Source organism: Homo sapiens, chromosome 3 (assembly GCF_000001405.40).
Source record: "Homo sapiens chromosome 3, GRCh38.p14 Primary Assembly".
Classification (NCBI taxonomy): Eukaryota; Metazoa; Chordata; class Mammalia; order Primates; family Hominidae; genus Homo; species Homo sapiens.
In genome coordinates, this window is record NC_000003.12 from 160,683,360 (window position 1) to 160,697,395 (window position 14,036).

Genomic DNA, 14,036 nt, shown 5'->3' on the forward strand with positions numbered 1-14,036 from the left:
CACTCCTTGCCATTCCCTACCTCTAATTTACTCATGTACTTTCTTTTTCTTTTTTTTTTTTTTTTTTGAAATGGAGTCTCTCCCTGTCACTCAGGCTGGAGTGCAGTGGTGCGATCTCGGCTCACTGCAACCTCCGCCTCCCAGGTTCAAGCGATTCTCCTGCCCCAGCCTCCTGAGTAGCTGGGATTACAAGTGCGTGCCACCACGCCTGGCTAATTTTTGTATTTTTAGTAGAGACAGGGTTTCACCATGTTGGTCAGACTGGTCTCGAACTCTTGACCTTGTGATCCGCCCACCTCAGCCTGCCAAAGTGCTAAGATTACAGGCGTGAGCCACAGCGCCTGGCCTACTCATGTACTTTCTTATTGTTTCTTTCCCGCCCTAGAAAGTATGCTTCAAAGAGCAGGGACTTTGTGTCTTACTCACTGTTGTATCCTAGAACTGTGCTTAAGACATGAGAGGTATTTAAAAGATATTTGTAGAACAAATAAAGGAATGCTCTGAACCCTAAAGTGAGGCCTTATCAGGGCCTGCAACTGCCTCTTGGCGACAGAATATGGATCCAACAATGAAAAGTAAAAAGCATGGCAGATTGGGACCTAGGACAGTTCCGTTCTAATCTAAGGATACCATAGGAAAGTCCTTCTTCTCAGGAGCAGTGTGCTGCACTAAAACGAATACAGGCTTTGGAATCATAACTGGGTAGGAATGCTGGTTGTCACCTGCTTTGGCTTTTAGGCAGATTGCCTCTCTGAGTCAGTTTTCTCAACTAGAACAGTGACTTGAACCAGAAAGAACCTTTTATTGTGTTAAGCCATGGGGATCTGGAAGTTGTTATAGCCCCTGCTGTTAAATGATCCTAATAAACTAGAATCATGGTCCCTGCTCCTCCTTTGTGTACCTAGACCCTTTTTTCCAATTTTCTCTTCTTTGCAAATCCCCTTACCTGTCTCCTTCTACCCATTCTAGCTAGCACCCTCATTTGGCTCATCCCAGAACAGACAGGGAAGAGGGAATTTAATTTTTCCTCAACTTTTTATTTTGTAAAATGCCAAACCTTCAAGAATTTGAAAGAGAGGGTAAAATTAACACCAATGTACTTTTCACTGAAATTCACCAATCATTACAATTTTGCCATATTTGGGCTTCTTTCTCTTCCTGTTTCTCTCTCTCTCCCCTCCACCATCTCCCGCTACACATGCGCACACACACACACACAGTTGCAATCATCCTGTAACTTCACATGTAAGTACTTTATTGTGTATCTACTTAGAATCACCCTTCTCCTATGTAAACATATTTGGGCTTCTTTTCTCTCCCTGTTTCTCTCTCTCTCTCTCTCTTTCTATCCCCCCCTCCACCTCCTGCTACACATGTACACACATGCACACACACACACAGTTGCAATCATCCTGACACTTCACACATAAGTACTTTATCGTGTATCTCCTTAGAATCACCCTTCTCCTATGTAAACATATTTGGGCTTCTTTTCTCTTCCTGTTTCTCTCTCTCTCTCTCTCTCTCTTTCTACCCCCCCCCACCTCCCGCTACACATGTACACACATGCACACACACACACAGTTGCAATCATCCTGACACTTCGCACGTAAATACTTTATCGTGTATCTCCTTAGAATCGCCCTTCTCCTATATAACCACAATGCCATTAATTTACACATAAAATTTCAAGCGTTAATTAAATATTATTAAACAGTCTATAACCAAATTCCCCCAGGATACCCAATATCATCTGTAGAATTTGTTTGATCCAGAATCTATTGCATTTGGCTATGTCACTTTCAATTTAGAATATTTTCCCCACCTTTTCCTAGTTTTTCACGTCCTAGAAATTTTTAAGGTCCAAGCCAGACAATTTATGTCCCACAGTCTGGATTTGTCTGCTTCTTCATGATTAGATTCAGGTTAAACATTTTTGGCAAGAATATTCTACAGATGCTATTGTACTTCCCACTGTATCCACTAGGGAATACATAGTGTCAGTTTGTCCTATTATTGGTGACACTAAATTTATTACTAGCTTTTCCCATGATAAAAATATAATTGTTTTCCTCCACTGTTAGTAAGTGATTTGATATGTATTTGAAATGATAAATATGATCTTTTGAGAGCTTATGAAAATCCCATTCCCCAAAAGCCTTTCACTTAATGGTTTTGGCCTCCATTGATGATCTTTACCTGAATCAGTTATTGCATTGGGAACTACAAAATGGTGATTTTCCCCCTAAATCTATAATTCCTTGACATTTGCTAGCTGGCATTCCTCTATAAATATGAGCTTTATCACCCTTCTCCATCATTTATCTCTCTCTCTTTCTCATCACTATGGACTCACAGACACTTTGTAATTTCAAAGTTTTATAATTCAGTGCTATTTAAAGTCAGGTCCATGGATCAGCATCACCAGCATTGCCTGTGAGCTGCTTAGAAATGTAAATTCCTGCTCCCTCCCTCTCCACCACCCCAGACTAACTAATCAGAATCTTGGTTGGAGGTAGGGGATGTCTAGGAATTTGTGTTGTGACCAACACTGTTATACAATCCTCCCTCAGTATCCATGGAGAATTGGTTCCAAGACCTCCCCAGGATACCAAAATCTGAGGACACTCAAGTCCTTGATATAAATGGCATAGTATTTGCATATAACCAACCCACATCCTCCTATACACTTTAAATCATTTTTAGATTACTTATAATACCTAATACAATGTAAATGCTATGTAAATAGTTGTTATACTGTATTGTTTAAAGAATAATGGCAAGAAAAAGGGTCTGTACATGTTCAGAACAGACACAATTTGTTATCTATTTGAAATGATAAATATGATCTTTTGAGAGCTTTTGAATATCCCATTCACCAAAAGCCTTTCACTTAATGGTTTTGGCCTCCATTGATGATGAGCTTTAAATATGAGCTTTAAAGCTCATACCCAGGCTGGAGTGCAGTGGCGTGATCTCGGTTCACTGCAGCCTCTGCCTCTTGGGTTCACGCTATTCTCCTGCCCCAGCCTCCCGAGTAGCTGGGACTACAGCCGTCTGCCACCGTGCCTGGCTAATGTTTTGTATTTTTAGTAGAGATGGGGTTTCACTACGTTAGCCAGGATGGTCTTGATCTCCTAATCTCGTGATCCACCTGCCTCGGCCTCCCAAAATGCTGGGATTACAGGAGTGAGCCACCGCACCCGGCCAACAAACTGATTCTTACACAACTCTCCTCAAGTTATACGTAAGGTATAATGTAATACAACATTGTACTTCTAAGTCAGATTGGACTTTCTTTCACTTTAAAGCATTTTTCCACTCGAGTTTAATATACCTACTTTAATTGCCTATAAATGAGGGACGTAAGAGACCATAGTGATGACACCAGCTTCTGTTTACAATGGGATAACCCCCAGTAGCCTCATAGTTTTATTTCTGCTCTTGCTTTAATAATGTATTTTACATGTATTCTAAAATTTAACATACAAATGCACAGATCCCAATTTGTAAAAATTAACATATAGAATATATAAAATATCTAGGTAGTTGTACATAGGTGACTGGAATTCTGTACAGTTCTCAATATTTTCCAAAGTTTCTACAGTGAGCATGTGTTACTTTTATATTCGGGGATAACACACTTTATTTTTAAAGGAGCTGTTTAATCTTCATAGCGTATATAAAACACGAGTGGACAATGCTTGTATGGCCTTAGAACTGTCATTTCAAATGCATTAATCTAAAGTATTAAGAAGTCCTTTTAAAGACCAGAAGTATTGCAATGTATAGACACATGGGGGCACTGTAACCAAGTATTAATAATTAAAGAAAAGCAAATCCAATAACCAAAACAGTTAACATGTATTGAAAATTTACTGTAGTCCGGGTTCTGTTATTAGCATTTATATGTATTATCTCATTTAATCCTCACATTGAATCTGTGGACTACCCTTGTTATCCCCATTAGTACAGTGAAGAGATCTGAGACTCAAAGCTATGCAGCCACCTAAAATTGTGAAAAGCGTTTACTGTGGTCTTTTATACATAATCAAGCTTTCACTATCAGTTGCTTGGTGAGAATTCTATACTGTACTTCTGTGCAAAGGTTTAATTCTCCCTTAAGCCATGGCCTGCTTCATATTATCAAATGCTTTCTCAGCCGGGTGCAGTGGCTCATGCATGTATTCTCAGCACTTTGGGAGGCCGAGGCAGACAGATCACTTGAGGTCAGGAGTTCAAGACCAGCCTGGCCAATATGGTGAAACCCCATCTCTACCAAAAATACAAAAATTAGCTGGGCATGGTGGTGTGCGCCTGTAGTCCCAGCTACTCAGGAGGCTGAGTCAGGAGAATCGCTTGAACCTGTGAGGTGGAGGTTGCAGTGAGCTGAGATTGCGCCACTGTAATCCAGCCTAGGCAACAAGAAGAATGAAACTCCATCTCAAAAAAAAAAAGAAAGAAAAAACCAAAAACCAAAAACTAAAAAAACCCAAATACTTTCTCTATTGCTATACTCGGAGTATAAGGACAGCTAGGGAGCAGAGAATTGATATTTAATAAAATTTTGTTTCTTCATCAGAAATATATCATAAAATTACAGAAAGTTAGAAAAAATGGGTAAATATAGCTATTAGCATTTTGCTGCATTTTCTTGCAGTCTTAATTCTTCTTCAGTGTGTATATAATTCAATGTATCATTTAAAATTGTATTTATTTTTTAACAGGTAAATAAAAATTGTATATATTTATAATGCACAATGTGACATTTTGAAATATGTATACAGTTTGGGATGGCTCGATTAATATATGCATTACCTCACATACTTATTTTTCTGTGGTGAGAACACAAAATCTACTCTGTTAGTGATGTTCAGTTATACAATACATTGTTATAAACTATAATCACCATGTTGTACAATAGAGCTCTTGAACTCATTCCTCCTGAGTAAAATTTTGTATCTTTTGACCAATATCTACCTGCACCAAGCCTGGTAATCACCATTCTACTCTCTGCTTCTATGAGTTCAACTTTTTGAGATTCCTCATTTATGTGAGATCATGTAGTATTTGTCTCAATATATCATTTTTGATAATTTGGGAATTCGATTTTTTTCTTCTATCATCACATTCACATATTATGTACCTTCACCATGTTGTATATCTTTTAGAACCATTAATTTTCAGTGTTACCTCATTTCCAATGTAGTAGACATATCATATTAAATGTTTAGGTAGTTGCACACAGTTACATGTTTTTAACCATTTCTCTACCATTCGTTTTTTACACTGCAGTCAATTTTTCATATTGTAAATAATTCAGCAAAAACATTTTCATGCATGTACTGCCACCCCCATATTTATTACTTCATTCAGCAAATATTGATTGAAAACCTAATAAAAATACCAGGCCCTGTGTTAAGTACTGAGTTTAGGATTTTTCCCCTAGGATAGTAGTTCAATGTTGAAAAACGAGAACATGTTTTATGCCTCGATACATATTGCCAAATTGCTTTCTAAAAATCGATGTCAGATTAATCTAAATGAATTCTTTAAAAAGACAGAAAGAAGGTAAAAACGAGGCATGAAAACGTTATCATTAGATGACTAATGACTATAGCATTATTACATCAAAGTAAGTAGATACATTTGTCAGAATTCAAATTACTAATAGTATGAAAAAAATTAATGCCAAAATTAGTAGCAGTTTTTACCCAATTATAACTCAAAGTCCAGACACAATAAATAAAAATATTGTTAAACTGGACTATGTAAAAATGAAAGAAATTGCAGCAAACATAAACAAAGTCAAAAGACAAATGTTATAAAATATTAATATTAGAATTAATATATATCATAGACCAGGATCTTATGTTCCTAATATAAAAGAACACAAAAATCAAGAAAAAAAGAACCAAAACCTTCTAGAAAAATGTACAAAAAGCATGTACACAGTTAATAAATGATATTCAAATGGCCCTTTAGTAGGTCAAAATCCTCAGCTGCTTCTTCTTGCATTACAGAAATGCAAATTATTACTACATTTAGGCACCATTTCTCACAAGGTTGCAAAAATGTATAAGTTTGATACCATTCCATAATTCTGTTAGTAAGGCTGTGGGAAAATGAATACTCTCATCAAATGCTGGTGGAAATACAAAACGGCATGACCTCTGTGGAGGAGAATTTAGCAAAATCTAACAAAGCCACATTTGCACTTACCTTTTAATGTAGCAATCTCATTTGTAGGAAATTTTCCTGAAGATACACAACCATACACCTGAAGAAACATATGTGCAGGGTTATTCATTGTGGTATTCTTCGTAATAGCGAAATGTCGGAAGTCCTAAATGTTCTTCTATAGGAGACTGATTTTTTTTTAAGGTATATTCCAAGAGTGAAAAACTACTCAGCCAAACAAAGAATGAGAAAGGGACATGCCAAAAGGAAACTAAAAGGGCCAAGAGGCAATGACACCCAGCAGCAGTGGGTATACCTAAAGCCCAGATCTTGGTTTCTAAATATTATTCCCTACTGACAGGAGCCTGAGCTCTTTGGAGAAATGACCGTTCGGGTCAGGGGCAGGTAAAGTGGACCTACAACTCTCTTGTGCCAGAGAACAAGAGAGAACCCAAAGACTGACAGAGACAGGTCAAAAGTTTACTAGAGCAGCTTAAAGGACTCCAACGGGCCAAATCTGAGACAATTTGAGCATCAAAAAAGAATATAGTGCTGGGCGCAGTGGCTCATGCCTGTACTCCCAGCACTTTGGGAGGCTGAGGTGGGCAGATCACTTGAGGTCAGGAGTTCAAGACCAGCCTGGCCAACATGACAACACCTCGTCACTACCAAAAAATAAAAAAAATTAGCCAGGTGTGGTGGCACACATCAGTAGTCCCAGCTACTTGGGAGGCTGAGGCACGATAATTGCTTGAACCTGGAAGGCCGAGGTTGCAGTGAGCCAAGATCATGTTACTGCACTCCAGCCTGGGTGACAACACGAGACTCTGTCTTTAAAAAAAAAACAAGAAGAATATAGAATGGGCACCGTGGCTCAAGCCTGTAATCCCAGCACTTTGGGAGGCCGAGGCAGGCAGAACACCTGAGGTCAGGAGTTCTAGACTAGCCTGGCCAAAATGGCAAAACCCTGTCTCTACTAAAAATACAAAATTTAGCCAGGCATGGTGGCATGTGCCTGTAAACCCAGCTACTCAGGAGGCTGAGGCAGGAGAATCGCTTGAACCCAGGAGATGGAAGTTGCAGTGAGCCAAGATCACACCACTGCACTCCAGCCTGGGTGACAGGGCGAGACTCTGTCTAAAAAAAAAAAAAAATTACCATTAAAAAAAATTACCATATATATATGGTAATGGATAACATACATTAAATAAATGAAAATAAAACCCATAAATCCATAGTGATATTCATTGAAAATATAAGAAGAAGCAAAGGAAAGAAAAAGTTTGGGGTGAGGAGAAAGGAAAGCTCTTTTATACAGAAAAAGTAGAGGGTGTGATAGAATTGGAAAGCTACTATTTTGCAACTGCAAAGCAGTAACCGACTCTGGGTATATGAAGGTGATTTTCTGAAATATCTTCTGGTTCTAAGACTAACAGAGTTTGCAATGGAAAGCCTTGATAAGATAAGGGAAAAGCTGTGAAATTCTTTAGTATGTTTTTCCTTTCTCTCCAAAGCTGAAAATCACCATTTACAAGTCCAATATGAGGCAGATCCCTAGTTTTGTCACTTTGAATTCTTTATATCTTTGGTTAAGTGGCTACAAAATATATTGAAACTACTTTGCTAAAGAAGGCTTCATCATAAACAAAGTCAAAAGACACATGTCAATCTGGGATATATCACAGATAAAAGATAAAAGTCTAATGTTCTTAATAAAAGCTTTATATTTTTTATTGTTAAAGCAGAAGAGAAAAAGATCCTGCTTAGCCTGTTGAACCAGATAAAGCATCCCATCTCCAGCCTAAGGCATGAATTTTCTGAGGAAAGTAAAGCCTCCCAGTATCTTCTTGATCTCTCTCCAAGATCAGGCTAGAGGGTAGAAGTCCATAATAATGTTGCTTTAACTTAACTCCAACTCCACAGGTCACACATTCACTTCATTCTGCCACGTCCAGTCAGTCAAGTGTACACCTGAGTCCTGGTGTACATATCAATGGTGTCCCCTTTCATTCTCAAAAGTGTCTCAGTGTGGACAATAAATTATATGATTACCCTACTTTTTGTGGAACCCCTGATGCTTTTTAGAAAAGTCTTCACTTGGCTAATATTTAGGGGTAAATGCCAAGCTAGAGAGAAAAACAAGGAAAGACTCCGAAATATAGTAGGCAGAATAATGCTGCCTTCACCACCCGACAGAGATGTCCATGTTCTAACCCCTAGAACTATGAATACGTTACCTCACATGGTAAAAGGAAAAAGTGATTAAGGATGTTGAGATGAGGAGATTATCCTGAATTATCCAAGTGAGCCCAAAATAATTACATCAATCTTTAAAATCAGAGAACCTTTCCCAACTGAGTTCAGAGTTAGAAGGGGATGAGACTCTGAAAGATGCTCAGATGCTCACTGCTGGCTGTGAAGATGGAATATTAGGGCCATGAGCCAAGGAATGTGGGCAGCTTCTAGAGGCTGGGAAAAGCAAGGAAACAGATTCTACATTAGATCTGCCAAAAAGAAATGCAGCTCTGCTAACACCTATAAAAGCGCAAGATAATACTTTTGTGTTGTTTTAGCCATTAATTTTGTGGTAATTTGTTAAAGTAGCAACAGCATTTTTAATGAGCCTTGAAGGATACAATGAGCCATCATTCATTGGATAAATATTTAAGTCCTTATACAGGCATGCTTTATTTTGCCGTGCCTTGTTTTATTATACCCCGCAGGTATTTTCTTTTCATAAAATGAGGGTTTGTGGCAACCCGGCATCCAGCAAGCCTATCAGCACCATTTTTCCAATAGCACTTTCTCACTTCATGTCTATGTGACCCTTTTTGGTAATTCTCACAATATTTCAAATGTTTTCATTATTATTATATCTGTTATGGTGATCTATGATTAGTGATATTTGATATTGCTACTGTAACTGTTTTGTGGCACCTTGAACCCTGTCCATATAAGACGGTAATCAATAAATGTGTGTGTTCTTTCCGCTCCACCAACTGGCCATTCCCCCATCTCTCTCCCTCTCCTCAAGTCTCCCTATACCCTGAGACACAAGAATATTGAAATTAGGCCAATTAATAACCCTACAATGGCCTCTAAGTGTTGAAGTGAAAGAGTCCATGTCTTTCACTTTAAATCAAAAGCTAGAAGTGATTAAACTTAGGGAGGAAGCCATGTTGAAAGCCAAGACAGGCCAAAAGCTAGGCCTCTGGCACCAAACAGCCAAGTTGGGAATGCAAAGAAAAAGTCCTTAAAGGAAATTAAAACTACTACTCCAATGAACATATGAATGAAAAGAAAGTGAAACAGCCTCACTGCTGATGTGGAGACGAGTTTTAGTGGTCAGGAATAGAAGATCAAACCAATCACAGTATCCCCTTCATCCAAAGCCTAATCCAGAGCAAGGCTTCTTGAATTCTGTGAAGGCTGAGAGGTGAGGAAGCTGCAAAAGAAATGTTTGAAATTAGCAGAAGTTGGTTCACGAGGTTTAAGGAAAGAAGTCATCTCTGTAACATAGAAGTGCAGGGTAAAACAGCAAGTGCTGATGGAGAAGCTGCAGCAAGTTACCTAGAAGATCTAGTAAAGATAATTGACGAAGATGGCTACATTAAACAATACATTTTCAATGCAGATGAAACAACCTACTATTATTGGAAGAAGATGCCATCTGGGACTTTTACAGGTAGAGAGAAGAAGAGAAAAAGCCAATGCCTGACTTCAAAGCTTCAAACAACAGGCTGATTATTTTGTTAGGAGCTAATGCAGAGAGTGGATTTAAATTGAAGCCAGTGCTCATTTACCATCCCAAGAAATCTAAGGCCCTTACAAATTATGCTAAATCTACTCTGCCTACGCTCTCGAAATGGAATAACAAAGCCTAGATGACAGCACATCTGTTTACAGCATGGTTTGCTGAATATTTTAACCTCAGTATTGAGACCTAGTTCTTAGAAAAAAAAGATTTCTTTCAAAAGATTACTGCTCATTGACAATGTACCTAGTCACCCAAAAGCTCTGATGGGTATACAGGGAGATTAATGTTGTTTTCATGCCTGCTAAGACAACATCCATTTTGCAGCCCATGGATCAAGGAGTAATTTTTACTTTTAGGTCTTGTTATTTAAAAAATACATTTTGTAAAGCTATAGCTGCCATAGATAATGATTTCACTGATGAATCTGGGCAAAGTACATTGAAAAGCTTCTGGAAAGGGTTCACCATTCTAGGTGCTATTAAAAGCATTCGTGATTAGTGGAGGTTAAAATGTCAACATTAACAGGACTTTGGAAGAAGTCAATTTCAACCCTAATGAATGACTTCGAGGGAGTTCAAGACTTCAGTGGAGGGGGTCACTGCAGATGTGATGGAAATAGCAAGAGAACTACAACTAGAAGTGGAGCCTGAAGATGTGACTGAATTTCTGTAATCTCATGATCAAACTTTAGCAAATGAGTTGTTGTTTCTTATACATGAGCAAAGAAAGCGGTTTCTTGAGACAGAATCTATTGAGATTTCCTTCTTGAGACAGAAGGAAAAGAGAGCTCTTGAGTTCCTTAGAGTGGCAACCACATGCTGTATCTGAAAGTAAGAGAGTGGGGTGGGTAGGGGTGGGTCACATCTACTCAAACACCTCACTGCTCAGGGACCAGGAAGTATAATCCCATTATGTGCTGGGAAAGGGTAAAATTGGAAATATTTGGTGAACTAAATGATTATTAAACATAAATAAATATTTATTAATTGAACTAAGGAAGCAATTTGAGTAAGTTAGAGGTCATCTGAGGAGGCCTTATCTAAGGGAAATAGAGACTAGGGAAGGAATAGGAGATGGAGTGAGGGACTAACCGAGTGTGCCAGGCATGAAAGAGCAGAATGATAGCAGATTTTCAGTCTGGATAATTATAGGAAGGGTGATGTCAATAAAAAGATAAGGTGAGAGGTGCAAGTATGGGTGTGTGCCTATGTGTGTGCTTGTCAGGGTGCAGCTGAGACACCTACATTTGGCCTTATCTTTTGCTTGATAAGATCTACTATCTTAGCTTCAGGCCTTTTGCTCAGTATACTCTGCTTCTCCTTTGTGTTGAGTTACTGGAGATCCAGCTAGAAATCAGAAATGGTCCCTGCTCCGGGTTGGATGGACAGATGCCATGAGTAAGGAACATACGCAGGAATTTTAGGGACATGTAAGGTGCTTTGTGTACATTACCTAATTTAAACTTCAAAATATCTCATGAGTAAAATATGATTATGTTCCTTTTAAAGAAAAAGAATTATTAGACTATCTAGAATCCAGCTCTGCTATGTAATCTAATTTTTATAAATGCTGGTGATAAACCAGGTCTGATATATTATATATGCAAGTTAGTTCACCCCTCTGAACCTTCAGTCTCTCCATTTTAAAAGGTGAATACTCCCTACACTGACGGTCATGGGGACTATGGTGTGGCAAAAGGGCCAGAGAGTCCACCAGCACACTGCCCTGACGTCCTCTCACCCTGCCAGGGCCTATGATCCAGAGAAAGGGGAGAGGGGCACCTAGCCCCACCCCTGGGCCTTGCAGCGAGGTGGTGTCATGCCCCTCAGCCTCCACACACTTGGGGCTGCCCTTGAGCCGCAGCCTACAGATCAATGATTAGACCCTACTCCTGGCCCACACAGCGCACTGACGTCATGCCCTACTGGCTGCTGATGCATGCTGATGCTGACGTCACCCTGTGGGTGTTCTCACCTCCAAGGACCCAGAATCTCGTTTGCTAGAGGGAGAGGCAGGTGCCAAGAGCAGTGGGGCTTGTGTGGAGTCGATGTGACATCAGCCTTAGTGACCAATAGCTCTGGCCAACTTATAGGGCCATGTCTGAACCTTGGGGACACCTTGTCTGATGGTTGCACTCAGATTGCATGCCATAGGGATTGGTTATTTCTACAGAACAATGTAGAGGCTGCCTCTCTGGAGGGGTAATGGAAGAACAACTTGACCTCTAATCTAAACTTTTAAAAAGAGTTGTATACATGTGTTGCCTCTACTCATTTCCCATTCATTCCTCAACCCATTCCAACGTTAAAGATTATTTCTAAAAGGTAAAATCAGAATCTATGCAAATATACAAACATAAAACGAACATGTGTCAATTAACTCATTAATTAATAAAGGAACCAGTTGTCAATCTAAAATAAACAGCAGAGAGACCGACTCTCCAAAACAGAGTTAATTCGAGAATAGCAAGAAATTACCATTTGGGATGCGGGTTCTATGTCAGACCATAGGTGCATCCAAAGAGGTTTGGGTAAGAGCAGGCTTTTAAAAGAAAAAAGAATTACAGGTAACCTGCTTTGAAACAAAGACCATTGGTTACAGGGGCTTGTTGCAGGAGTTGGCATTAGCTTATTGGTGGAGACAGCCATTGTTAGGCAAGTGTCTTGTGCAAGTGGTTTATCTGGAATACTGTGATTTTGAGGAATTTCTTGCAATAATTAGTGCTACAAACTTAGGTGCCTGAGGGCTTCTTCTCCATAGCCTCCTGGCTCCATTTCATTAGATTTGACGTAAGTGACTTCATTTTGACACTGATAACTTCACACAGTCAGACATTATGACTGTCTCAAAGAATCTTAAGAAGTACATAAATAGGCAGTAGTATTCTGGAATGAATTTCCTCCCCCATCCTCTCTCTCATCCAGTGGATAAACAAGATCTTTTGACTCAGCTTCCAAATTGGATTAATCTTTTCTCCAGCTTCACAAACACCATCTTACTCTGAGCGAAATCATCTGTGGCTCTGACTATTGCCCTCCAGTTGGCCTCACCTTCTGCCCCCCAAATCTGTTTGCTAGAGTTTCCAAAGTGATCTTTTTTTAAAAAAAGAAGAAAAAGAACAACAATAAACTAGATCATATTGCTTCCCTTTGTAAAATCTTCCAAGGGCTTCTTTGCTTGGAGATTTAAATCCACACTCTTTGTGCTTGCTTACAAGGAAATACGTGATCTATCTGTGCCGCTTCTCCAATATCATGTACCACTCTGTCTCCCCACAGTGCTCCAGGGCCTTCTGCTTAGAATGCTCTTCCTCCTGAATTTTCCACTGTCATCTCCTTTTCATTTTTAGATCTCAGCTTGAATATTGCCTTCTCAGGCCTTTCCAGACCCTGCATTCTAAACTGGCCACTCAATCATTCTTATTTAAAATGCTAAATATCAATCACTTTGATACAAGATTTGTGTATTGTCCATCTCTCCACCCCCAATTAAAATGAAAGTGCATAAGTTCAGCAAGAAAAGCTCTGACTTACGCTGTTCACCAATGTCTTCTCAGCTAATAGGACGCTTAATTGAGTTCAGCATGTTATCTATTCATGCGTTGGGGTTTTATCACTTAAATTAAGCAGTTACTGTGAATATTCTCGCTGTTCTGATTTTGTAATAATCACGATGGGCTAAACATTCGCAATATTAAGACCATGTATGTATCCCTAGACCTAGTTCTTTCCCCAGGTCTGGTTTTATAAATGCTGGTGATAAACCAGGTCTGATATATTATATGATCATTTTGTGCAATCATATAATGGCTGTGATTCTAGGTTATCTTTGGTCAACCTTAAGAAAAATGACAGTACAGCTAACATAGTAACTTTTGCAAAAAATCAGTGCTAATTTGCAGACTGTTGTCTAAAGAAGGGATAACCAAAGTATAGAAATTTGATGGTACCAGTTGCTATTAAATGAATTGTAAAAATTACTGTATATAAAAATTTAAAAATAAATAAAAAATAAGCAGTTAATCCTCATAACAAAAGGTTTAATTATTTAAAATAAGTACTACCTTAGATGCATTTACAAACTATATTAGATTATTTTA

General features: G+C 38.8%; 1 non-coding gene across 1 annotated transcript; it reads left to right on the forward strand.

The window, feature by feature from the left end:
* The first annotated feature begins 13,569 nt into the window (after nucleotides 1-13,569).
* On the forward strand, nucleotides 13,570-13,701 carry LOC124900554 (small nucleolar RNA SNORA72). The gene has a single exon (XR_007096301.1). It is a non-coding gene; the product is annotated as a small nucleolar RNA SNORA72 (small nucleolar RNA).
* The last annotated feature ends 335 nt before the right edge of the window (nucleotides 13,702-14,036 follow it).